Source organism: Homo sapiens, chromosome 11 (genome assembly GCF_000001405.40).
Source record: "Homo sapiens chromosome 11, GRCh38.p14 Primary Assembly".
Taxonomy (NCBI): Eukaryota; Metazoa; Chordata; class Mammalia; order Primates; family Hominidae; genus Homo; species Homo sapiens.
In genome coordinates, this window is record NC_000011.10 from 66,637,523 (window position 1) to 66,663,530 (window position 26,008).

Sequence of the window (26,008 nt, forward strand, 5' to 3'; positions counted from 1 at the left end):
ATCTTCACTCCTGATGATCCCTTTCCTCATAAACTCTGCACTGCTTTTAGCCTGTTTTGTTCGTGTTATAAGTTCTTCCATCCAGTCCCTGCACTCCACCTTTTAACCCTTTTCAAAAGCTGCTTCGCAAAGGGTCTTGACTAAAGTTGCTTGCTTAATGAATATGAAGCAGCCTAAGGATGAGAGAAAACGAGGCAGCAGCTGGACCCTCTGGAGAATGTTACTTTGTATTTTGTTTACAGCTGGTTGTGACTAAGCTCTGTCCTCTAAAGTCGGTTCTAGGGGATTAAAACAGCTCTGGCTGATGGCGCCCAATAAAATAAAACAAAAAAACCTTTGCTGCTCCAGTTTTTTCTCAGGGTGGGGTCGGGGTATACTTTAAATCTCCATGGTCTCAGAAAGGTTTCTTCATCGCGGACCCTGGGAGGCTGGTTCCCAGAGGGAACTTGTCCTCAGCGTCTCCTGGACAGTGCAGCCTCCTGCCGGGCCTACTTCTGGAAGGCCATTACAGAGGTCCTTTCACCACCTGTGAGAGGTTTGATTTTGGGGGAGCTCCGGGACTCTCAAGGCTACAGTGTGGACTGCTGGCCCAAGGAGAAGGTTGGTTTCCTGAAGTGGTGGGTGGTGGGTTGGGGGGGGTCTTCGTTGTTTTTCTTCCCTGGCATGTGCCTGCATAAGCTATTTCCACAGCGTCCTGGCCGCGAGGGGGGGTGGTGCTTGGGAGGTTAGAGGGAGACACCTAGAGTGAACGGCAAAATGGAGCGCGGAATACTGTCTGGCTGTGCACGTGGAGGTGGCGAAATGTGGAAGCTTAACGAAGTTGGCGCCATGAAGCTAAAGACTGCTACCCCGGGGCTCTAGCTCGCTCCGCCTAATGGCGGGCCGCACCCCGCCGGCGAAGCCCACGTTTGTAGGTCCGCCCTCACGCTGATCTCTTGCCCAATCAGCGAGTTCGGCTTCGCGAGGTTGGTGCCCATTGGCTTTCGCATAAAAGCTCCGAGGTTACAGACGTTTCCACCTCTTGCCGGCCTCTTAGGTAATTGGCGTCCGTGGTAACCAATCAGGAAGAGGATCTGAGGGAACGCCGGCCTTTTACTTTCTTGAGTGGCCAATCCGGTTGTAGGCTCACCTCCCCCTTCTACTCAGAGCACTGCTGCGGCCGCCGCCATTTTAGCGTTTTGTCAGAAGCGTCCGCGCCGCGAGGAGGAGGCCCTGCTGGTTTCTGTGCGGGTGAGACTCCGAGCCTTTCCACTGCCTTTCTTGTACTGTGTTAAATCTTCTCTCACTCCCTTGGGCTTCGGGGGTGTCCTGGTAGGTCCGCAGTCTCCACACCCGTCACTGAGAGCCGACCTCGGTCCTCGGCATTGCGCGGTAAGCCGGGAGCAGCCCTTCCCCCACCGCCCCCTGAGAATACCTTGCTTTTTTTCGCCCACCCTGTCCCGCGCCCGACATGGCTGCTCTTGGAGCCTCGAGATTTCCACTGGGATAACCCCCTTTCCCTTATATCTGACAGTTACATTCTCGTTTCGGGAATTTCTCGGGCCGTGAGACATCGTCTGGTTAATGAATCTGAAGCTCTTTTCCGCGGCCGCGCATTTCAGTGTTCGGCAGGAGCTAGGACGGTGCCCCGAGAGAGGCGTTCACCACTCCAGTATTTCCTTTATCTCCCACTCCTCGCTGTCTGATCCGAGTCGCGCGTTCATTACTTCCAAAGGAAACTCAAATGTAGCTATTACAAGGCCCATTTTCCCGGAAATGATGGCTGCTTTGGTTCCTACGTGAGGAAAAGCCTGTTGATAATTTCAGGCAGGCAGTCAGCAAGCCTAGTAGACTTTTGTTTTCTGTTGTCCTCCTAGTGGATAGAAAAGCCTAGTACCCCCATTTCTTCATATGCTGTCTTTCATGCCCATTTCTGTTGGAAGGTATCGGTTCTTACCAAACCCTTTGTCTACTAAGGACCTCCCTATTGCAGACGTCTTCTTATTCTTACAGGTTCATGGCGGCTACTATAGCAGGCCTTAGTTCACTCCCACTTCCATTTGATTATTGTGTGGAGGTGTGTGTGCAGGCGTGTGAGAGAGAAAACTGGAAATATACATTAGAGTGAAAGTCGTTGTCTTTTGTGAACGGATGTGGGCCTGAGGTCTTTTGTCAGATGTCTTGTTTTTCTCTCCCAGGCTCTTGTCAGGATGGTGAAGCTGTTCATCGGAAACCTGCCCCGGGAGGCTACAGAGCAGGAGATTCGCTCACTCTTCGAGCAGTATGGGAAGGTGCTGGAATGTGACATCATTAAGAATTACGGCTTTGTGCACATAGAAGACAAGACGGCAGCTGAGGATGCCATACGCAACCTGCACCATTACAAGCTTCATGGGGTGAACATCAACGTGGAAGCCAGCAAGAATAAGAGCAAAACCTCAACAAAGTTGCATGTGGGCAACATCAGTCCCACCTGCACCAATAAGGAGCTTCGAGCCAAGTTTGAGGAGTATGGTCCGGTCATCGAATGTGACATCGTGAAAGATTATGCCTTCGTACACATGGAGCGGGCAGAGGATGCAGTGGAGGCCATCAGGGGCCTTGATAACACAGAGTTTCAAGGTGAACCACCCTCTTTGGGTAGAGGGCTGAACACAAGGCTGTGTGCAGAAAATGGTTGGATAAGTAAAAGGAGAGGTTTGGTAAAGATAACAGCTGTTGGCTGGCTGGTGATGAAGAAATAAGTGTGGGTGATGGACTTCTTATGATGTAGAATGCATGGGACTTAGGGGCTTTACCTTAGGCAAATGTCTCCTGGAGAAAAGCCACTCACCTTTTATTTGGAGCCCCTACGGCTTTTGTGCTTATCAGTGCAGAAACCCTTTTCTTTGAAGGCTTTCTGAGTTACTGGGCCTTTTTTATTTTTTATTTTTTTGTAGTAGAGCACAGTTCAGAGTTCCTCACTCTGAATTTATTGCCCTCAGCACAGGATCAGAATTCTGCATTTTACGTGAAGAACCTCTCAAAAACATGTCAAGCGACACTTATAGGACCAGAATCCTTGTTAAGCTGTCCTACCTTACACAAACTCTTTAAAGGGTTACAGCTCTTGTTGCTTTTATATTATACCTGTACCAAGGGATTGTATTTTGAGTTTAAGGCCACTCTAGAATTACAAGGCTGATTTTAGGACTTCCTGGGGAGGAGGCACTGGGGTTTTAGGGGCGGTAATGACTGTCTTTTCATTGGTTTGGGGGGCTGGACTTTATAAGATTTTGGTGAATAGAGCACTTAGATTTGTGTTATCTTGGAGTCTTAACCAAATGAATCTTTTGTGCCTGGAGGGCAGCATGGGTGATATGTGGATTGTCACTTCATTTGGAAGCATCTCAAATCCCCAGCATTTTGAATGCCTACATGTTGCTCAAAGGAAATGCTTGTTAGAGCATTTTGGATTTTGAATTTTCAGATTTGGGATGCTAAAATGGTACGTAGAACGCAAATATTCCAAAATCTGAGGTCTGAAGCAACAGTGGCAGTTCAGGGGTGGTGATCATGGTGAGTTGCTATCTGAACTCTTCTTTCACCTCCTTTGGGTTCCCAGTGTCAAAAAGAGTGGTGTCCTTTTTTAGCTTAATTAAGCAGGACTGAACAAAAATAATAAAAAATAAAAAAAGCCTTATTCAAATTATGGAGTATTTCCGTGACTCCTTGCTATATTTCAAACCTGTGTTCTGACAGTGTAGTTTGCCGATTCTTTTTCTGGGTACTACCTTTGTTAAGAGTCATTGCTGCCTTTGGCGTCCATTTCCCTTAAATTGGGCTTTTTTAGAGCTGAGAGTCTGATCATTATTTCCCCTAGTAATGGGTGCCCTGTGTCATGGGCATTGCTGTGCGTTAGTAAAGAAAAGTGACACAGGTCTCTCAGGTCTAGTTTGCTTTCTTTTTTTTAATTGGCAAGTTGAGAATTATTTTGTCAACAACTTAATTGAGAGCAAAGGTTGCTCTTGTGGAGGGTTTATGGTGTGATACCTAATTTTTGGACTGTTTCCCACACTTCAGCCCAGTCAGAAGAGGTGGTGTCTGCTTGTAGCAGTTAGGTTTAAGGAGAGGACAGTGTGGTCTTGATTCAGGACAAATTATCCTTATATAAAACTCTGGGTGTCTGAACCCTAGGTCCCCTGACACTAACCTATGCTTAGTTATTTTTACCTTATTTTATGTAATATTGGCGTTTCTCATTTCTTAATACTGTTCTGGTAGAATTATAGATGTATATTGATGAGCAGTAGTTATTAGGGTGGTCTTTTTTCCTTTCCGTTTCTCAGTGTTGGGTATCTTCTCTATTGCTTGCCCACTTAAAATCTCTTTTAGATATTTTTTAAAATTTAACTTCTTTTTCTGGCGTTAGAACCAACAGATCCTTAGATTAAGGCGTTTATTAATGATCTTTATGTCTGGAATGTGCATAGTTGCTTGCTTAGTTGCACTTGTTTTCTCTGGTTTTGTTAGGTGCCAAAGTGGCCCCCTGGGCAAATGCCAGAGACAAGCTAGCACTTTAAGGCACTTAAGTGCATAATTGCATATCTACTCTCTTTTAATAACCTGCAACCTAAACTTCCAGCTGTGTAGACCTCCTTGATATTTTGTTCCTTCCACCCCCGTTTCCCTATTGTGTTTTCTGGTCTCCCAGAATCTAACATTAATTTTGCAAGGAAAATTGTGTGTTTACCACTTTCTCTAATGTTAGAGGATCCATTTGTTGACTCTCCCTTGCTTTTGACCATTTACTCCTTTGACAGGTGTATGTTTAGGTGCATCATAACCAATTGCATTGGGAAGTTTTTGCAGGATTTGGATCTCTTCTGAATTTTGCTTACCAGTAAGCTGGTAGATCATGTTAGGTAGAAATTGCTTCTGTAGAGACTTACTAAAACTTAGTTTTAACTTTTCTAGAAAAGTTTCTGCTTTTATTACATTTTCAGAAGTAATACTTTTCATTTCCAGAATGCAAATTTTAATTTTCAGGAAAAATATTAGGTGTATGTTCTTAGTTACGCTCTCAGATATGTAGTTGCAGGAGAAGTACTTTAATTCTGCTTAAACTGAGCAGTTTGGTCCACTGACTAGTATAACTAGTTATTCTCCACTTTCCTCAGGCACGTTTTCTTCCATGTTTTTTACAGTATTCTAAAATTTCAGGCATTTGAGAACAATCTGTCCTGTTTTTGCCCTGTTTGCCTTTGACCCTAGTAGAGGGTCACTAAAATTAACTGTCAGATTGTAAAGAATCCTCGTTAAAGCAATGATCAGAACCAGCAGTTTAAAGGGCCCAGTTAAGGGAGAAGTCTGTCCTTCAACTTGTTGTGCCCCTCTGTCTCCCCAGTTCATGAGGGTTTTTCCAGAGATGTACCTTGAGATTTGCTTGCCACATTCAGCTGTGGATTGAGTCTAGATCATTCTTTAATAGTGGTAATCATTGGAGTCTTTTATTCGGTTCTTTTAAATTTTTTGAGGAGGGTGGAGAACTGGCCTTTACTTATATTCCTTTGCTTAATGAAAATCCATCTTGCTAGTAAGGATTGGAGGTGTCAGAAAAGACTTGGGCACTGTTTCTTACTTTGACTTCTTTTGACTTTGAGCCGCTGTTTGGAGATGATTTTTACCTGTTTGGAGATGATTGGAGCAAGAGTAGTTTATTTCTTAAGCATTTAAACTGTTGTTATAGCTGAAATATTTCTTCATCTAAGTGGTCTTTTCCTGAAATCAGGTCATTATACTGAATCTATATGTTGAGTCTTTTTTTTTTTTCCTTTTTATCTTTTCCTAAAGATGAGTCCTGCATTAGAATTGTCTAGATAAAGCCATTGCTATGACCAGTGTCTGGGGTAGGGGCTGGGGCTATGACTAAGAGTGATAGCAACCCTTCTTGCGTCTGTTTCTTCAAGGCAAACGAATGCACGTGCAGTTGTCCACCAGCCGGCTTAGGACTGCGCCCGGGATGGGAGACCAGAGCGGCTGCTATCGGTGCGGGAAAGAGGGGCACTGGTCCAAAGAGTGTCCGATAGATCGTTCAGGCCGCGTGGCAGACTTGACCGAGCAATATAATGAGCAATACGGAGCAGTGCGTACGCCTTACACCATGAGCTATGGGGATTCATTGTATTACAACAACGCGTACGGAGCGCTCGATGCCTACTACAAGCGCTGCCGTGCTGCCCGGTCCTATGAGGCAGTGGCAGCTGCAGCTGCCTCCGTGTATAATTACGCAGAGCAGACCCTGTCCCAGCTGCCACAAGTCCAGAATACAGCCATGGCCAGTCACCTCACCTCCACCTCTCTCGATCCCTACGATAGACACCTGTTGCCGACCTCAGGAGCTGCTGCCACAGCTGCTGCTGCAGCAGCAGCCGCTGCTGCTGTTACTGCAGCTTCCACTTCATATTACGGGCGGGATCGGAGCCCCCTGCGTCGCGCTACAGCCCCAGTCCCCACTGTTGGAGAGGGCTACGGTTACGGGCATGAGAGTGAGTTGTCCCAAGCTTCAGCAGCCGCGCGGAATTCTCTGTACGACATGGCCCGGTATGAGCGGGAGCAGTATGCCGATCGGGCGCGGTACTCAGCCTTTTAAAGCTTGAGGTGAGAGGGGTGGGGTGTTCCCTCTTCTGGTTTTGCCATCCCTCCTGCAGCCTAAAGGGCTCCAATTAGGCTGCCCTGCTTGCTTGCTTGCTTTTGCAGGGTTAGGGGAAGGTTACTAGGATGGCTCACAGGCTAGAGAGAAGTCCTAACTGCTTAACTTTAAAATACATAGAGTTCCTTGGCCCTCATGGCTATTTTTCAGGGCTTCTGGTAGTGGGAGTCAATTTGATTCTATTTGTGCCTAGAAAAATAAAGAATGATGTGCTGGTGAATCTTGGGTCACCTATGTACTATACTATAATTGAACCTTACCTGGGGACCCACACGTTCAGGCTCAGGTGTTTTGTTTCTTAGAGCCTTTGTTAAGTTTCCTACGTGTGCGACATTCCTAAGGTCTTCAAGTTTCCTATTCTGTTTTGTGCTGTGTGAAAGTTCTGATATGACCCCTGATGATAAAGTCCATAACTGTAGTTAACTGGTCATCACTGCTCAGGTCCCAGTTACTAAGAAGACTACCAAAATGGCATCATCTTAATCTTGAAGCGTATTTCTGACATTCCTGAACCGTTCAACCCTTATGAGTTTTATAGAACTTATTTGATGGTAAGTTGGGGTAGAGAGAAATACAAAACTTATCTTTTATAAAGTTCCACAAGGAAGTCTGGGCATAGATGCTAACACTCACCTTCTCTGCCCAGCTCAGATTTATTCCCTGAATAGAGTGCCCACTCCATTGCTATATCTTTCAGTCTGTCCTATAACAGCCCAGCCTGTCACTTACTTAGGGTTTTTTTTTTTTTTAAGTAACTATTCCCACAGTTCTAGTTTTGACATCATCTACTTTCTCAGGGTATATGTTTTAAGAATGCAGGCACACCTGTTAATTTTACTCCTTTGGTAATGTTGAAATCCAGGGTTGGGAGCTTTGCCATAAGCAAATCACTCCCTTCTTCATCTTCTCACTAGCTGTTTTGGGCATTTAATACTCTTGAGCCAGCAGCTCTACCCTGAGTCCGCTGGCTTTTTCCACTGTCATACATTTTGAGCCCCATGATCCATTTGGCTCTCCTTGAATATATTCTCTTCTGATACTTGCCAGCTTTGGGCTCTAGGTGTTTGAGATTATTGTTGTACTTAAGGGTAAATCTCAATGCCCTTAGTTTTGAATAGCTCCCAGTATGTCCCACACATTACCATTGATCCTTAATTATAGTAACTGTGTGAGTGATAGATAACTGTCATCTTTGCAGTTAGGGCAGAAGGTATGTGGCTTTCCCAGGGTCATTGGGTAGGCAGTCACTGATTGGGCTGGAAAAGAGACTTGATGTGTAGCTTATACATGCCCTTCTGCACCTTCTTTCCAAAGTTAGTTTCTTCCCTAGTTGGAATTGGATGTCCTCAGGTCTTAAAACTTGTGCAGTTGATGCTACTTCTATCTAGACTTTGAATGATTTTTAACTCGGACCTTGGCAGTAACTCCTAGATAGAAAATACTGTTAATTTTTTTTTTTTAAACCTCAGGGAGCTAATTGGAACCTTTCCATTTTTCCTATCCTCTGCTGACAGCTTGTGATGTGGAATTACCTTCTCTGAGGAATGCTAATGTTAACATCATCAAGAGCAAGGAATGTCTCTTTGCCTACTTTTATGAAACAAGATTTGCTATTAATTTAAGACCTTAGTCTGAGGTTGTTTAGCCTCCCCAGTTACTCTCTGGCCTTCAAGCTCTTTTCATTGTTAGAGATTACTGTGATACTGGGGGAGAAGGGTACAAGTAAACTTAAAAGGAGTGTCAAGTTATCAGACTTTGTAAAGATGTTGAAGTTTTAAATGGGAAAGCCCTTTTGAGCTTTGCTGTAAAGCCGCTGTATTGTGCTCTCTTTCAGGTGGGATGTGTGTGGGCTGAAATTCCGAGCTGCGGTTGTGCATGAGAATACACCCTTCGTGGTACCCCATCTCCGGGACGTTCTCGGCTCTGTGCGTTCAGTCCCTCAGGAACCGTGGACCTTAATTTACCTTGCTAAGTTCAGACCTTCTCTTCCTTTCCTTTCCTTTCCTCTCCTGCCCATTTTCCTGTTCTTCTGTCCTTCAATACTTCTGTAGCTTCCCATTCATGTTCTCTTCTCCCAGCAGGCCTCATTGTGTGCAGAAACTGTGGTGGGGGCTGTGCTGTCTCCTCCCTGCCTCCTGCCTCCTGCGGCTGTTGGATTTGGGAATGACCTTGGTGAGAGTCTCACTGCTCCAGGGTCTCTTTTTGGTCCAAAGGCTAGACCTATAGAGTTGGATCACTTTTTTTCTTTCCGGTGAAATAAATGGTTTTTCAACTTAGGGTATGTGTGCTTTGCGAGACTTCTTGCTTGGGCTTGTTTGGGGGTTCATTTGTACCTTGAAGGGGAGGGTATAAAGTTTTAAGACACTCAGCTTTGGGTGAACGTCACTGTAGTTATTTTGTTTATTGTAAGTAGGACTTGTAGGTGCCAGAGGAAGGAGGTTATACAGAAGCCCAGGCAGGCAGCCTTATTCCAATGAAGACTTTTCCCACTGGTCCACCTTTGTTATAAAACCAACTACTTTTAGTTTACAGATGTAGGTCTTCTCTTCTAGAGAAACAGTCACCACCTTCCCTTAAGACTACCATTCCAATCACCCAGTCAGTGTATCTAGCTTAACTTAATTTCCAGGGAAAAGGAGGGGTTTAGGGGAAGAGGAAGTCAGTTTTCGCTCTTCGTGCCATGTGAAAAAATGAAGCTGTGGCTCCAAGAGTACTTTGCTAACTAGGCCAGTGACATGTGTTGATGCCTTTCACCATCTATTTGTTTAGCTCTGCCAAAATCCAAAGAATGCCTGAATGGTCCCACTAGCACCTCATTACTTGGGTTTACAGCCTTTAAATCATAGGCATGGAGAAATGACCCAACATATGAGGCTTTAGATACCTTGTTGAATGATGGGGCTGAGTGCAAGAACTGCCGCCTCAGCCTCACGTTTTTCTTGAAACAGTTATTTGTCTTCCATATGTTTGGTCTGTACCTTCTTGCTCCAGTTTCTACAGATACAGGACTGTGTCAGAGCATTTCTCAGAATCATTCAACAAATACTGAGCACCTACTGTATGCCAGGCATTACCCTTTCAGGGAAGTTGGGTTATGATGATGGGGAGATAAAGAAGCTGGTCTTTACTTCGATAGTTTCTCAGATTTTTTTTTTAAATTAATTGTTTCCTCCTGTTAGATTCTTTCTAATCATAGATGACCAAGATTTGAACAGCTCTATACAACATGTAATTTATTGAATATTTTTGTACGTGAAGCCTGTGCTGGGTGTTTCGTGTTCTCATTTAATCTTCCCAGCAAATGTTTTTCCTTTAGTTTTTCCTTCCTGGCTGGGTTGGTTCTCTGCCATTTCTCTTGGAGGGTCGTACATACCTAACTTTGGTTTCTTTTTCTCTAAAGGACAGACCCACCACTGAACGCCATTTTTACTCTTGTCAGTATACCCTTTGATCTGATGGGTAGGGTTGGCAAATTTCAAACATTGGAGACTAACAGTATTCATTGATTCAACAAATATTTTATTGAGTGATACTCTGGAAGGTGGTGTTTTAAGTGTTGGCGATACATACGGTTCTGGAGCTTCTATTCTGAGGGAGCAGAAAATGCAGAAATGTCAAGTAGAGAATTCTGTTTAGATGGGGATGGTCAGTGAAGGATTTTCAGAAGTGACATGATAAACATGGATATGATATATTTTTGCATTACAAAACTAGTTAAAATTTTAACTCCGGCCAGTCATGGTGGCTCACGCCTGTAATCTCAGCGCTTTGGGAGGCCACGGTGGGTGGATCACGAGGTCAGGAGTTCGTGACCATCCTGACCAACATGGTGAAAAACCCTGTCTCTACTAAAAATACAAAAAATTAGCTGGGTGTGGTGGCACGCACCTGTAATCCCGGCTACTCAGGAGGCTGAGGCAGGAGAATCGCTTGAACCCAGGAGGCAGAGGTTGCAGTGAGCCAAGATTGCGCCACTGCACTCCAGCCTGGGCAATGAGCAAAACTCCTCAAAAAATTATTTTATAAAATAAAATTTTAAGTCCTTGGCCAGGTGCAGTGACTCAACGCCAGTAATCCCAGCACTTTTGGAGGCTGAGGCAAGCAGGTTGTTTGAGCTCAGGAGTTCAAGACCAGCCTGGGCAACATGGTGAAACCCTGTCTCTGCAAAAAATTAAAAAATTAGCTGGGCATAGTGGTGCGCATTTGTGGTCCCAGCTACTCCAGAGGGCTGAGGTGGGAGGATCACTTGAACCCAGAAAGTCAAGGCTGCAGTGAGCTAAGATCAGGCCACTGCACTACAGCCTGGGTGTCTCAAAAAAGAATTTGTCTCAAAAACTTTTTGCCAGGCGCGGTGGCTCACACCTGTAATCCCAGCACTTTGGGAGGCTGAGGCAGGTGGAGCATCTGAGATCAGGAGTTCGAGACCAGCCTGGCCAACTTGGTGAAACCCCATCTCTACTGAAAAATATAAGTTAGCCGGGCATGGTGGCAGGCGCCTTAATTGTGGCTATTTGGGAGGCAGAGGCAGGAGAATCCTTGGAACCCGGGAGGTGGAGGTTGCAGTAAGCTGAGATGGAGCCATTGCACTCAAGCCTGGGGGACAAGGGCAAGACTTCTCTCAAAAAAAAAATTTTTTTTTTAATTTCTTGATTCTATTAGAGCAAGTCATTTTTGCTTTCTGCTTTGAGATCCTGATCTCCCTGTAACAGACAATGTAAGAGTAGTTTTTTCATGACTCAGAATCTGGCCTGGTTTAATGCTATATTCATACTAGATGCTTTTGCATTTTCTCTTTTTTAAACCATTTATTGCTTTTGTTTTTGTTTTTGTTTTTTGAGACAGAGTCTCTCTGTTGCCCAGACTGGAGTGCAGTGGCATGATCTGGCTCACCGCAGCCTCTGCCTCCCGTGTTCAAGTGATTCTCCTGCCTCAGCCTCCTGCGTAGCTGGGATTACAGGCGCCTGCCACCACACCTGGCTAATTTTTGTATTTTTAGTAGAGATGGAGTTTCACCATGGCCAAGCTGGTCTCAAACTCCTGGACTCAAGTGATCCGCCTGCCTCCTAAATTGCTGGAATTACAGGCATGAGCCATCACACCCAGCCTTAAGCTATTTATTGACTTGTTGAGAGGAAAAACTCTATCAAGAACAATGGCAGCCTAGGCAACATAGTAGGATCCCATTTCTAAGACAATTTTAAAGTTAGCTCTTTGTGGTGATACGCAGCTGAAGTTCCAGCTACTAAGAGGCTGAAGCGGGAGGATAGTTTGAGCCCAAGAGTTTCAAGCTGTGGTGAGCTGATTGTGTCACTGTACTCCAGCCTAGGTGACAGAGCAAGACGAATTATTTTTAAGAGGTGATTTGAAAAGATTGACTATAACTCACTGATTTTCAACATCAATGTATTATGAAGTTGTTTTTATGCTTCCAATCAAGTGTATCTTTGAGTGGAAGCCACATAGTTGGCTCTGTGTAATTGACAAGGTTATGCTGCCACTCCTTAGGAATAATAAAGTACTTTTTCTTGCTTTTTGTTTTTTAGACATCCAGCTCTGTCACCCAAGCTGCAGTGTGGTGGCATGATTGTAGCTCACTGTAACTTTGAACTCCTGAGCTCAAGGGATCCTCCCGCCTTGGCCTCCCAGAGTTTTTGCAGGGACTATATGTGAGCCACTGCGTCTGGTCAAAATGTAGTTTTTCAAGAGTAATGCTTTAATAAACTGATTTTTTTCCCCCATAGCATTTCACTGTTCATTCTGTCTAGTAAATGTCTAGCTGGCTTTGTATTTCGCTAGGTACTCCCTGATTACCTGCAATTAGGTTACCATGTGGCGAATACAAAGATGAATAGGGCATTGTGCCTGTCCTCACTGTGCCTCCACAAGCTGCTGCTTGTCTGGGCCTTGGGTGTACAAATAACTGGTATGTCCTTGGAAGTCAGTTCGGGGTGGGAATGGTCATACTATTTTGTATTGATGACATGTGCCTCGGCCTGATTCTGCATGGGTCAAAGGACCTGTGAGGGCAGTTTTCAGGGTGATCTTGGAATTTAACTTGATGTTAACCCTGTTAACTTTGCCTTTAAAGTTTTCCAGCCAGGCGTGGTGGCTCAACGCCTGTAATCCCAGCACTTTGGGAGGCCAAGGCAGGCAGATCACCTGAGGTCGGGAGTTCAAGACCAGCCTGTCAAACATGGGGAAACCCCATCTCTACTAAAAACACAAAAAATTAGCCGGGCATGGTGGTGGGCACCTGTAATCCCATCTGCTTGGGAGGCTGAGGCAGAAGAATTGCTTGAAGCTGGGAGGAGGAGGTTGCAGTGAGCTGAGATTGCGCCATTGAACTCCAGCCTGGGCAACGAGAGTGAAAGTCTGTCTTAATAATAATAGGCCAGGCGCGGTGGCCCACGCCTGTATTCCCAGCGCTTTGGGAGGCCGAGGTGGGCGGATCACGAGGTCAGGAGATCAAGACCATCCTGGCTAACAAGGTGAAACTCCATCTCTACTAAAAATATAAAAAGTTAGCCGGGCGTGGTGGTGGGCACCTGTAGTCCCAGCTACTTGGGAGGCTGAGGCAGGAGAATGGCATGAACCCGGGAGGTGGAGCTTGCAGTGAGCTGAGATTGCGCCACTGCACTCCAGCCGGGGCAACAGAGCTAGACTCCGTCTCAAAATAAGTAAAATAATAATAATAAATTTAAAAATGAGCCGGTCATGCTACTCAGGAGGCTGAGATGGGAGGATTGCTTGATGCCAGGGGCGGATGTTGCAGTGAGCAGAGATGGCATCACTGGACTCCATCCTGGGTGACAGTGGGATCCTGTCTCAAAAGTTTCCCAGGCATCCTCAAAATTGGGGTTGTTTTGGGTGAATGCTAAATTAAACCAGGCTCCTTACCCTAGAGCTACACATCAGTACTAAAGTAGACTCGGGGGGGGATGGAGTAGTGAGAGTGAGATCATTGATCATTGGCACTAGTATTAAGTGCTGTTTCAAATTACCCAGGTCAGTTTGCTCTCAGTACTTGTGTGTTCTTACACATGATCTCATTCTGAGGTAAAGGAAATTCCCAGGATGATGGTGATGGGAAGTCCCAGGACTCCCTTTCTGCAGTGGATTTGGAGAACAGTAGTCCAGGTTGTAGCAAGAGAAAGTACTTTTTTTTTTTTTTTTGAGGCGGAGTCTTGCTCTGTCACCCAGGTTGGAGTGCAGTGGCACTATCTCGGCTCACTGCATGCTCCACCTCCCGGGTTCACGCCATTCTCCTGCCTCACCATCCAGAGTAACTGGGACTACAGGCGCCCGCCACCACACCTGGCTAATTTTTTTGTATTTTTAGTAGAGACAGGGTTTCACCGTGTTAGCCAGGATGGTCTCGATCTCCTGACCTCTTGATCCGCCTGCCTCGGCCTCCCAAAGTGCTGGGATTACAGGCGTGAGCCACCATGCCCCGCCAACAGGAGGATTTTTTTAGTCCGTTTGAGGTGCTGTAACAAAAGACCGTAAGACTGGATGGCTTATACACAACAGAATTTTATTTCTCACAGTTTCGGAGGCTGGGAAAGCTGAGATCAAGGCCGTGGCAGACGTGGTGTCTGGATTCTGTCTTGAGTTTGCAAGGCAGGAAGGGTGAGGGATTTCTCTGGAGTTTCTTTTATATAAGGGCACAAATCCCATTGATGAGGGCTCTGTTCTATGGCATAATCACCTCTCAAAAGTGTACCTAATACTTTCACTATGGGGATTCAGATTTTAACATGAATTTTGGGGGGACATAAACACTCAAAACTATAGCAAGATTCAACTGTGTGTGATATTTACCTAGTTATGATCGTAGCAGCTCTGAATATTAAAATAATAATCTGATGAAGTGGCGATGGGTGGGTAATACGTATAAGAGCAAAACTCATAGAAATGAAAAAATTTTTTTTTTTTGGTCACCCAGGCTGGAGCGCAGTGGTGCAGTCTCGGCTCACTGCAACCTCTGCCTCCCGGGTTCACACCATTCTCCTGCCTCAGCCTCCCAAGTAGCTGGGACTACAGGCACCCTCCACCACGCCCGGCTAATTTTTTTGTATTTTTAGTAGAGACGGGGTTTCACCGTGTTAACCAGGATGGTCTCGATCTCCTGACCTCTTGATCCGCCTGCCTTGGCCTCCCAAAGCGCTGGGATTACAGGCGTGAGCCACCACACCTGGCTGAAATGAGGAAATTTTTAAAAGTGGCAAATGGATTATGAACATCTTATTCAGAAATAAAGGTAAAAAACAGCTAAAATGGCAAAAGCAGTTGGGTTCTGGGGAAGGTGGGGCCAGGGGACTTTTTGAAGCCTTAATATTTGCTTTGTTAAACCATGTTCTTGCATTATTAAGTTGTGTCATGCTAAGAACTCTATTTTGTCAAGCCAGATTATGATGGCTTAACATGAGTGAACCTTCCAGCTTCTCATGAGATGCAAATCTGACAGGAATAGGGACTCGTGTTACTTTATGGCAGGTAAATAGCACCCTTCAGATACAAAATTGGGTTGGTTTCGGGCGTGGTGGCGCATGTCGTAGTCTCAGCTACTACAGAGGCTGAGGTGCAAAGATTGAGCACAGGAGTTCCAAGGCCAGCCTGGCCAACCTAGTGAGACCTGACCTGTCTGAAACATACAACCCCACCCGCACCCCCACCAAAACAGGGATGGTGCTTCCTGTCCCTTAAGGAGACAAGACACCAAAGGAGAAAGTACGTAGCTAGTGATGAGTGAATTGAGCATTGTATTACTGCTCTCATTTTTGTCTTAAGTTGTCACAACTAACAGGGAGGCTGAGTACTCTGTCCACTGGGAGCTGGTGGTTCCATTGAGGGTTGTGTGTGCCTGCTGGTTTGAGTTCCTCTGTCCAACATCAGAATTGTTTGTATTCAGATATGCAACAAGATGGGACTTCTCAGTTTCACAACGTAAGGAAGATTGACACCAAACTGAGTTTGGGGCTTCCTTTGTACAGTTGACCATTGAACAACAAGGGTTTGAACTGTGCAGGTTCACTAATACATGGATTTTCTTCTGCCTCTGCCGCCCCTGAGACAGCCAGACCAACCCCTCCTCCTACTTTTCCTCAGCCTACTCAACATGAATACTATCAGGATGAACACCTTTATGATGATTCACTTCTACTTAATGATTTTTTTTTTTTTTTTTGAGAGGGAGTCTTGCTTTGTCACCCAGGCTGGAGTGCAGTGATGCGATCTCGGCTCACTGCAACCTCTGCTTCTTGGGTCCAAGCAAATCTCCTGTCTCAGCCTTCCGAGTAGCTGGGACTATAGGCACATGCCACCACGCCCAGCTTACTTTTGTATTTTTAGTAGAGACAGGGTTTCACCATATTGGTGAGGCTGTTCTCGAACTCTTGACCTCAGGTGATCCACCTGCCTTGGCCTCCCAAAGTGTTGGGATTACAGGTGTGACCCACCGCGCCCAACCTTTTCTTTAGCTTTTATTGTAAGAATACAGTATACATATAACACACAAAATATGTTAATTGACATATGACCTGTAAGGCTTCCAGTCAACAGCAGGCTACTAAGTTTTGGGAAGTCAAAAATTATACATGGGTTTTCTTTTTTCTCTTTTTTTTTTTCTTTTTTTTTTCTGAGACAGAGTCCTGCTCTGTCGCCCAGGATAGGGACTCACACTTTGAATATATGCCTCAATTAAAAAGGCAAAAAATAAGCAGGGCACAATGGCATGCACCTGTAGTCTCAGGTACTTGGAAGGCCGAGGTGCAAGGATCGCTTGAGCAGCCCAGGAGTTCAAGTCCAGCATGGACAACAGCAAGACCCTCTCTAAAAATATTACTTATTTTAGAGACAAGGTCTTGCTCTGTCATCCAGGCTAGAGTGCCATGGTGTTATCTATCTCACTGCAGCCGTAGCTCGCAGGCCCAAATGATCCTCCCGTCTCAGCCTCCCAAGTACTTAGGACTACAGGCATATGCCACCAAATCCTACTATTAGAAGAATTTTATTTTTGGCCGGGCGTGGTGGCTCACACCTGTAATCCCAGCACTTTGGGAGGCTGAGGCGGGCGGATCATGAGGTCAGGAAATCGAGACCATCCTGGCTAACATGGTGAAACCCTGTCTCTACTAAAAATACAAAAAAAAAAATTAGCTGGGCGTGGTGGCGGGCGCCTGTAGTCCCAGCTATTCGGGAGGCTGAGACAGGAGAATGGCGTGAACCCGGGAGGCAGAGCTTGCAGCGAGTCGAGATAGTGCCACTGCAGTCCGGCCTGGGTGACAGAGTGAGACTCCATCTCAAAAAAAAAATTTTTTTTATTTTTGAGACAAGGTCTCACTTTGTCCTCTAGGCTGGAGTGCTGTGGTGCAAACATGTCTGACTGCAATCTTGATCTCCCAGGCTGAAGCTATCCTCTCGCCTCAGCCTCCTGGGTAGCTGGGACTACAGGCACGCACCACCACGCCCAGCTCAGTTTTGATTAATTTTGTTTTTTTTTTTTTTTTAGAGGCAAGGTTTTCCCATTTTGCCCAGCCTAGTCTTGAACTCCTGCGCTTAAGTGATCATCCTGCCTCAGCCTACCAAAGTGGTGGGATTACAGGTGTGAGCCACTGTGCCCAGCCTACAGATAATTTCTTTTTATTTTTTGAGATGGAGTCTCCCTACGTCGCCCAGGCTGGAGTCCAGTGGCGCCATTTCGGCTCACTACAACGTCCGCCTCCCAGGTTCAAGTGATTCTTCTCCCTCAGCCTCCTGAGTAGCTAGGATTACAGGCGCATACCACCACGCCCAGCTAAATTTTTTTTTTGAGATGGAGTTTTGCTCTTGTTGCCCAGGCTGGAGTGCAGTGGCATGATCTCGGCTCACTGCAACCTCTGCCTCCTAGGTTCAAGCGATTCTCCTGCCTCAGCATCCTCAGTAGCTGGGATTACAGGCATGCACCACCACGCCTGGCTAATTTTTGTATTTTTAGTAGGGATGGTGTTTCACCATGTTGGCCCTGCTGGTTTCGAACTCCTGACTTCAGGTGATCCACCCGCTTTGGCCTCCCAAAGTGTTGAGATTACAGGCATGAGCCACTGCACTCGGCACTTCTTTTCTTTTTTTTTTTTTGAGACAGGGTCTCACTCTGTCACCCAGACTGCAGTGCAGTGGGGTGATCTTGGCTCACTGCAACCTCCACCTCCCAGTCTCAGTTGGTCCTCCTACCCCAGCCTCCCGAGTAGCTGAGACTACAGGCATGCCACTACATCCCACTCGTATTTCTTGTAGATACAGGGTTTCGCTATGTTGCCTACGGTGCTCTTGAACTCCTGGGCTCAAGCGATTCTCACCTCGGCCTCCCAAAGTGCTGGGATTATAGGAATGAGCCATTGCACCCGGCCTGGGCCTCTTTTAAAAAAGTGAGATTTGAGCAATGAGTTGAATTAGATGTAAGTTAGCAACAGGTATCTGGGGGAAAAGTACGCCAGGTAGAGAGAATATCTTGAGCAAGGGTCTTAAGGTGGGAGTGTTCTAACAGTAAGGAGGCCAGTGGCAAAAGAGTGAGTGGGAGGAGAGAGGAGCAGAAGAGGTCAGGTAGTTAGCAGATCTAGTAGTTAATCTTCTAGGGCCTTTCTGGCCTTCACTCTGAGTCAACTAGTCTTGTAGGTTTTTAAGCAGTGTCATAATGTGATTACTTTTTTAAAAAATCAGCTTTTCTGAGTTTTTTTTTTAAACACCCTTTCAACCCAGTTTTTCCTGACTCTGGGAAGAACCAGGAAGAGACGGCCCTGAAGTATTCTTTTTTTTTTTAGATGGAGTTTTGCTTTTGTTGCCCAGGCTGGAGTGCAATGGTGCAATCTCAGCTCACCACAACCTCCGCCTCGCGGGTTCGAGTGATTCTCCTTCCTCAGCCTCCTGAGTAGCTGGGATTACAGGTGCCCGCCACCATGCCCGGCTAATTTTGTATTTTTTTTTTTAGGCGGAGTCTCGCTCTGTCACCCAGGCTGGAGTGCAGTGGCACAATCTCAGCTCACTGCAAGCTCTACCTCCTGGGTTCACGCCATTCTCCCACCTCAGCCTCTGAAGTAGCTGGGACTACAGGCACCTGCCACCACGCCTGGCTAATTTTGTTTTTGTATTTTTAGTAGAGACAGGGTTTCACTGTGTTGGCCAGGATGGTCTCGATCTCATGACCTTGTGATCCACCCGCCTCGGCCTCCCAAAGTGCTGGGATTACAGGTGTGAGCCACCGTGCCTGGCCTAATTTTCTATTTTTTTAGTAGAGACGGGGATTCTCCATGTCAGTCAGACTGGTCTCGAACTCCCAGCCTCAGTTGATCTGCTCACCTTGGCCTCCCAAAATGCTGAGGTTACAGGCATGAGCCACTATGCCCGGCCTGAAGTATTATTTTCAAACAATAAAATATACCAATTTTGAAAACAATTTGACACATTGTGACAATGTACTTTTTTGGGGGGCCTTTTGTTTTGTTTTTTAAAAAGATGGTGTCTCACTCTATTGCCCAGGCTGGAGTGCAGTGACATGATCTCGGTTCACTGCAATCTCCACCTCCCGGGTTCAAGCGATTTTTGTGCCTCAGCCTTTTGAGTAACTGGGATTATAGATGCATGCCACCATGTCCAGCTAATTTTTATATTTTTAGCAGAGACGGAGTTTCACCATGTTGGCCAGGCTGGTCTTGAACTCCTGACCTTAGGTGATCCACCACCTTGGCCGCCCAAAGTGCTGGGATTATAGGCACAGTCGTGAGCCACCATGCCCAGTTTGACAATGTACTGGTAATTTTGGTAACTGATGGTTACAATCTTGTTCCCATTGTTGCAATCAAAATACAGAACATTTTTGTCAGCCAAAAAGCCCTTGTGCCCCTTTGTAGTTAATCCTCAGCCCCTGATCAATTTTTTAGTCTTTTTTTTTTTTTTTTTTTTTTTTTAGGTGCGGTCTTGCTCTGTTGCCTAGGCTGGAGTACAGTGGTATGAGTATGGCTCAATGCAGCCTCAACCTTCTGAGCTGAAGCGGTCTTCCCATCTCAACCTTCCAAGTAGCTGGAACTACAGAGGTATGCACCATTGCACCTGGCTAATTTATTTTTTATTTTTATCTTTTGGTAGAGATGGGGTCTCCCTATGTTGCCCAGGCTGGTTAGGAACTCCTGGCTCAAGCTATACTCTTGTCTCAGCCTTCCAGACTACTAAGATTAGGCCGGGCGCGGTGGCTCACACCTGTAATCCCGGCACTTTGGGAGGCCGAGGGGGTGGATCACTTGAGGTCAGGAGCTCGAGAGCAGCCTGGCCGACATGATGAAACCCCGTCTCTACTAAAAATGTAAAATATTAGCCAGTTGTCGTGGTGCGCACCTGTAGTCCCAGCTACTTGGGAGGCTGAGGCAGAAGAATCACTTGAACCCGGGAGGTGGAGGGTGCAGTGAGATGAGATAGCGCCACTGCACTCTAGCCTGGGCGACAGAGCAAGATTCCATCTCAAAAAAAAAAAAAAAAAAAAAAAAAATTATAGGCATGAGCCACCTCGCCTGCCCCCTCCCCCACCTTTTTTTTGAGACAGGGTCTTCCTATGTCACCCAGGCTGGAGTGCCGTGTTCAACCTCCACCTCCTCCCGGGCTCAAGCAATTCTCTCACCTCAGCCTCCCGAGTAGCTGGGACCACTGGCGCATGCCAGCATGCCCAACTAATTTCTGTATTTTGTAGTTGTGGTTTTGCCATGTTGCCCAGGCTGGTCTTGAACTCCTGAGCTCTAGCCATTTGCCTGCCTCAGCCTCCCAAAGTGCTGGGATTACAGGCGTGAGCCACCTAGTCTGACCCTTTTTTAAAATTTTTTTTTTTTGAGATGGAGTTTTGCTCTTGTTGCCCAGGCTGCTGGAGTGCAACGGCACGATCTCGGCTCAGTGCAACCTCTGCCTCCTGGATTCAAGCGATTCTGCTGCCTCAGCCTCCCTAGTAGCTGGGATTACAGGCATGCACCACCACGCCCGTCTAATTTTGTATTTTTAGTAGAGATGGGGTTTCTCCGTGGTGGTCAGGTTGGTTTTGAACTCCCGACCTCAGGTAATCCGCCTGCCTCGGCCTCCCAAAATGCTGGGATTACAGGCGTGAGCCACTGTGCCTGGCCTAGTCTGACCTTTTTTTTTTTTTTTTTTTTTTTTTCGTTTTGTTTTAAATGGGCAACTAGAATAGGCTCAGAGATTCCCTGAAATCATTGTTAATTGTCACAATTTAGGGGGTTTCTCCCGCCAGGGATGTGGCTAAACATCCTCCAATGCACAGGAGGGGCACCTTTCCCAGTTATCACTAGTGCCAAGTTTGAAATCCTCTTCAAGACTTCATTCATTGCTTTGGCTTTGTATACCATATGGAGTTGTGCTGTTCAGTGTGGTAGCCAGAGACATATACAGTGCTGCGAGTACCAAATACCTATGGGATTTAAAAAATTAATATAAGCCAGGCGCAGTGGCTCACGCCTGTAATCCCAGCACTTTGGGAGGCCAAGGTGGGCAGATCACTTGATGTCAGGAGTTTGAGACCAGCCTGGCCAAGGTGGTGAAACCCCATCTCTACTAAAAATACAAAACTTAGCCAGGCGTGGTGGCACGTGCCTGTAGTCCCAGCTTCTTGGGAGGCTGAGACAGGAGAATTGCTTGTACCTGGGAGGCGGAGGTTCTATTGAGCCAAGATTGGGCCACGGCACTCTAGCCTGGGCAACAGAGCAAGAGTGTCTCTCAAAAAAAAAAAATATATATATATATATATTCAGTTTTTAATGCTCATTATATGTTGAAATGGTCATTTTTTTGCACATATTGGGTAAAAATACATTAAAATTTTTTTTTTTCCTAACCACCAGACTATCTGGGGAAAATAAAATTAATACAATTTAATTTCACCTGTTTCAGTTCCCTATGTGGTTTGCATTTGTGGCTCACATTGTATTTCTGTTATGTAACACTGATCCAGGTGCTAAAGACTCTTGATATCTCCAGTTTGAAACCTCTCTTCTGTGCTCAAGATTCAGGGATCTGGACACCTAGCTGACATTTCTTCTTGGTTCTTTTTTTTTTTTTTTTTTTTTTTTTGAGATGGAGTCTCACTCTGTTGCCCAGGCTGTAGTGCAGTGGCGCGATCTCGGCTCACTGCAAGCTCCGCCCCCCGGATTCAAGTGATTCTTCTGCCTCAGTCTCCTGAGTAGCTAGGACTACAGGCACGTGCCACTACACCTGGCTAATTTTTGTATCTTTAGATACAAAATTTAGAGACGGGATTTCACCATATTGGCCAGGCTGGTCTCGAACTACCGACCTCGGGTTCTGCCCGCCTTGGCCTCCCAACTTGCTGGGATTACAGGCATGAGCTACTGCACCTGGCTGGTTGTCTTAATACACCTCAAACTTGGTATATCTGAGATAGAGCTCCTGAGACTCCCCACTCTAAAATCATTTCTCCTTCAGTCTTCCTTATCCCATTCTCTCTTTCAGCCAGATTGCTGGTAGTCATTCTTACGCCCTCCCCAACCATTAGCAGCTCTTGATCATGTTTATATCACATGTTGCCTCTTTTCTCCATGTCTTTGCCACAGCCATAGTCTAGACCATGCTATCCTCTCCCACCAAGATGACTACAGTGACCTCCAGGTCCATCTTTTTCTTACCCTTGGGTCTTCAAAGTATTCTCCATTTAATAGCCAGAATGTTCTTGTGAAATGTATGTAAATCAGATGTTTCTTTCGTTACTTAGAACCTTTCAGCAACTTCCCCTTTTATCTAAAGTAAAATGCCCAATCCCTTAGTTTGAACGTGCCTTTCCTCTGTCACACTTTATTATCTCAGGCCCTTTTCCCTGCTTATCTATCCTTTTCTGACCATACTGACTCTCCTTTCAGATCCTTGTATACACTGAGCTCTTTCCTGCCTCAGGGCCTTTTTTTTTTTTTTTTTTTTAAATCTGAAGGGACCTTTCTCTTTACTGCTTTAGAGCTAACTTAACTTCAGGTCTTAGCTTCAGGATCAAGTATTGGAATGCCCTCCCAAACCACCTGTAGCTTAGTAGATATGTCCTCCCATTATTCCCTGCCATTGGACCCATTTTGTGTAATTTGTGGTACTTATCACAATTTCTTTTTTTTTGAGATGGGAGTCTCTCTTTTTTTTTTTTTTTTTTTGAGACAGAGTCTTGCTCTGCAACCAGGCTGGAGTGCAGTGGCACGATCTTGGCTCACTACAACCTTTGCCTCCTGGGTTCAAGTGATTCTCCTACTTCAGCCTACTGAATAGCTGGAATTACAGGCTTCTGCCTAATTTTTTTGTAGTTTTAGTAGAGACAGGGTTTCGCCATGTTGTCCTGGCTGGTCTCAAACTCCAGACCTCAGGTGATCCTTCTACCTCGGCTCCCAAAGTGCTGGGATTACAGGTGTAGGTAGGCCACTGCACCCGACCTAAACTTTTTTTTTTTTTTTTTAATTTGAGATGGAGTCTTGCTCTGTCGCCCAGGCTGGAGTGCAGTGGTGCGATCTCAGCTCACTGCAAGCTCTGCCTCCCGGGTTCACGCCATTCTTCTGCCTCAGCCTCCCGAGTAGCTGGGACTACAGGCATGTGCCACCATACCTGGCTAATTTTTTTTGTATTTTTAGTAGAGGCAGGGTTTCACCATGTTAGCCAGGATGGTCTCGATCTCCTGACCTCGTGATCCACCCGACTCGGCCTCCCAAAGTGCTGGGATTACAGGCGTGAGCCACTGCGCTCAGCCGTGCCCGGCCTAAACTTTCTAAATCTCAGTAGCCTTAATTGCTGGGAGAGCCAGTGATGCTACCTCATTGGGTTCTTGTGGATTTGCAGGGGTGACAGATACACGGTTTGAATTTGGCCTGGATTCTCAAAGGCCCTGCAAACCTAAGGCACTTCAGATTGAATTCATCTCGTCAGATTTTTCATTCTTCTCCTGCAAGTTCCTGGAGCTGATTCTATCATTTCTTGCATTTCATTTCTCCTCAGCGGCAGAGCCTAGCTCTGGTCTGAAGAAAGCCGAGATTGATCTTCCAACAAACTGACAGCTCTTCCCAGGAATATTTATTTCTCCCCTCCTTCCTTTTCCCAAATCTCCTAGGCCAGGTGACTTCCTGAGGACCAGGTTTGTAAGCAAAATCCTGACAAGCTATGAAACCAATCTGGGGCAAGTTGCTTCCCTTTTCTGGTCCATCTTGCAGGCAGCCAACCTTTTTCTGCCCTTAGGACAAGTTTCTAACAGCACCTTGAGTGCCCTGAGGGCCTAGTGTCTTTCTGTGCCATGCTGGAAACCTGAGGAAGGGGGTAGATCTGAGGCTACAGAAACCACATATGCCTCATTCATCACCATGTTCCCACATCCTAGCTCATAGTAGGAATTCAAACAGTTGATAAATGAATTCAGGAGCTTTTAGCGTTGAGAGGCCTCATGGGACTCTGAAATGGTCTATAGTGAGAAACTTGGTGAACTAAAGGAATTTTGTATTCACAATATGCAATTTATCATATAAGAAGTAAGGTTTAGGAATAAAAACATTGGCCAGGTGTGGTGGCTCACGCCTGTAATCCCGGCACTTTGGGAAGCCGAGGTGGGTGGATCACCTGAGGTCAGGTGTTCAAGACCAGCCTGACCAATATGGTGAAACCCCATCTCCACTAAAAATACGAAAATTCACCAGGCGTGGTGGCGCGCGACTGTGATCCCAGCTACTGGGGAGGTTGAGACAGGAGAATTGCTTGAACCTGGGAGGCAGAGGTTGCAGTGAGCCGAGATCATGCCAGTGCACTCCAGCCTCAGTGACAGAGCGAGACTCCATCTCAAAACAAAAAAATACATTTGTCCTACTCAACAGTACTCTTTTGGTGTGAAAGGTTTTCTAAAATAAAAATTATGCAATTCTGCAGGGCTTTTTCTCCACCTATGAGCAGCTTATTTTACTATCTAAACTGCTGTCCAATAGAGTAGCCACTAGCTACATGTAGCTAATTATAATTAAATAAAAAACTCAGTTTCTCAGTGGAATAAACCACATTTCAGGTACTCAGTAACCACAGTAGCCACAAATTGGACAGCACAGATATGGAACACTTCCATCACTGCCAGGAGTGTTATTGGGCAGTGATGATATAGAACTCTTTTGCAGAAAATTTTTTTTCTTGTGCCAATGACATAGAAATCAAGATACTTTTATTTATTTATTTATTTTTTTGAGACAGAGTCTCACTCTGTTGCCCAGGCTGGAGTGCATTGGCGTGATCTTGGCTCACTGTAACCTCTGCCTCCTGGGTTCAAGCGATTCTTGTGCCTCAGCCTCCCTAGTAGCTGGGATTACAGGTGCACACCACCATGCCCGGCTAATTTTTTGTATTTTTAGTAGAGATGGGGTTTCACCATGTTGCCCAGGCTGGTCTCAAACTCTTGAGCTCGGGCAATCCACCTGCCTCAGCCTCCCAAAATGCTAGGATTACAGGCGTGAGTCACGCACCTGGTATATGTTAAACTTCCTATGTTAAATTGGTTGAAACCTAGCACAGAACCACCAGAGATTTTGCTGAGGCCAGCAAAACCTGCAAATTTTTTTTCTTGGCTCTGCATAGTGCCTTGCAGATCATAAGAAAATCCCAGCATCTTTGCCTTATTTTCCCTTTTGTAAAACAGAGACAGTCTTGCTTCCTTGGGGAATACTGACGCTAACATGAGCCTTATGTACATCACCACTGGTTGGAATGTGTGCATGGATGGACAGGTTAACTTCTGTAGATTGTCAGACCATTCCCCTAAGAAATAAGGGAAAATTTTTGCTTCACCTGTCAAGATTAAGTATAAAATATGTGAGGTAAATGCTTTATTATTGTAGGTAAAATTTCACATGTAGTCAGAATTTACACATCAACATTTCCATATAAAGTACAATAAAGCTTAAGTAGAGTTGAGTCCATCATTAAATGTGTTCTATGGGGATCTAAACAAAGATAAATAAGATGTCCATAATCTAGAAGACATACTTTACTGCAAAATGTCACTGCTAATCATTAATATGTGATTTGCTTTTCTGCTCAAAGTACTATGTATGAATATTTTAGCCAAAGCCTAATCCTAGCAGAATATTAGCACCTTGGGAAGACAGACCTCTTTTAATAGCTCATAAGTGAATTTAATTTTTTATTTTTTTGAGATGGAGTCTCGCTCTGTCACCCAGGCTGGAGTGCAGTGGCGTGATCTCGGCTCAGTGCAACCTCTGCCTCCTTGGTTCACGCCATTCTCCTGCCTCAGCCTCCCGAGTAGCTGGGACTACAGGCGCCCGCCACCACATCCAGCTA

General features: G+C 45.7%; 2 protein-coding genes across 5 annotated transcripts in view, besides 6 other annotated features; both read left to right on the forward strand.

The window, feature by feature from the left end:
- RBM14-RBM4 (RBM14-RBM4 readthrough) overlaps positions 1-8,946 on the forward strand; it is a 29,839-nt gene extending 20,893 nt beyond the window's left edge. The window contains exons 2-3 of one of the 2 annotated variants that reach the window (NM_001198845.2): positions 5,928-6,618; positions 8,505-8,946. In NM_001198845.2, the coding sequence (NP_001185774.1) occupies positions 5,928-6,610 (683 nt within the window). In that variant the 3' untranslated portion in view covers positions 6,611-6,618; positions 8,505-8,946. The remainder of the gene's footprint in view (positions 1-5,927; positions 6,619-8,504) is intronic. The other variant, NM_001198846.2, reaches the window with a different exon arrangement.
- Positions 632-1,345: an enhancer, noted in NCBI's record as "H3K27ac-H3K4me1 hESC enhancer chr11:66405625-66406338 (GRCh37/hg19 assembly coordinates)". NCBI's record gives its function as "activates a minimal SCP1, AML or CMV promoter by ChIP-STARR-seq in primed H9 embryonic stem cells {active_cell/tissue: H9 hESC(primed)}" and the evidence as "EXISTENCE:reporter gene assay evidence [ECO:0000049][PMID:30033119]".
- Positions 632-2,057: a biological region, named in NCBI's record as "hESC enhancers GRCh37_chr11:66405625-66406338 and GRCh37_chr11:66406339-66407050".
- Positions 1,110-1,479: an enhancer, noted in NCBI's record as "active region_5055". NCBI's record gives its function as "activates an Ori minimal core promoter by ATAC-STARR-seq in GM12878 lymphoblastoid cells {active_cell/tissue: GM12878}" and the evidence as "EXISTENCE:reporter gene assay evidence [ECO:0000049][PMID:35858748]".
- The window catches only part of RBM4 (RNA binding motif protein 4), a 29,678-nt gene continuing 4,850 nt past the window's right edge, over positions 1,181-26,008 (forward strand). The window contains exons 1-4 of one of the 3 annotated variants that reach the window (NM_002896.4): positions 1,181-1,230; positions 2,178-2,601; positions 5,928-6,618; positions 8,505-8,946. In NM_002896.4, coding sequence (NP_002887.2) covers positions 2,190-2,601; positions 5,928-6,610 — 1,095 coding nt within the window. In that variant the 5' untranslated portion in view covers positions 1,181-1,230; positions 2,178-2,189 and the 3' untranslated portion in view covers positions 6,611-6,618; positions 8,505-8,946. Of the gene's footprint in view, positions 1,231-2,177; positions 2,602-5,927; positions 6,619-8,504; positions 8,947-26,008 lie in introns of those variants that run through there. The other 2 variants (NM_001198843.2, NM_001198844.2) reach the window with 2 other exon arrangements.
- Positions 1,346-2,057: an enhancer, noted in NCBI's record as "H3K27ac hESC enhancer chr11:66406339-66407050 (GRCh37/hg19 assembly coordinates)". NCBI's record gives its function as "activates a minimal SCP1, AML or CMV promoter by ChIP-STARR-seq in primed H9 embryonic stem cells {active_cell/tissue: H9 hESC(primed)}" and the evidence as "EXISTENCE:reporter gene assay evidence [ECO:0000049][PMID:30033119]".
- Positions 5,762-6,285: an enhancer, noted in NCBI's record as "H3K4me1 hESC enhancer chr11:66410755-66411278 (GRCh37/hg19 assembly coordinates)". NCBI's record gives its function as "activates a minimal SCP1, AML or CMV promoter by ChIP-STARR-seq in naive H9 embryonic stem cells {active_cell/tissue: H9 hESC(naive)}" and the evidence as "EXISTENCE:reporter gene assay evidence [ECO:0000049][PMID:30033119]".
- Positions 11,812-12,012: a silencer, noted in NCBI's record as "peak1306 fragment used in MPRA reporter construct". NCBI's record gives its function as "represses an SCP1 promoter by STARR-seq MPRAs in K562 erythroleukemia cells {active_cell/tissue: K562}" and the evidence as "EXISTENCE:reporter gene assay evidence [ECO:0000049][PMID:32103011]".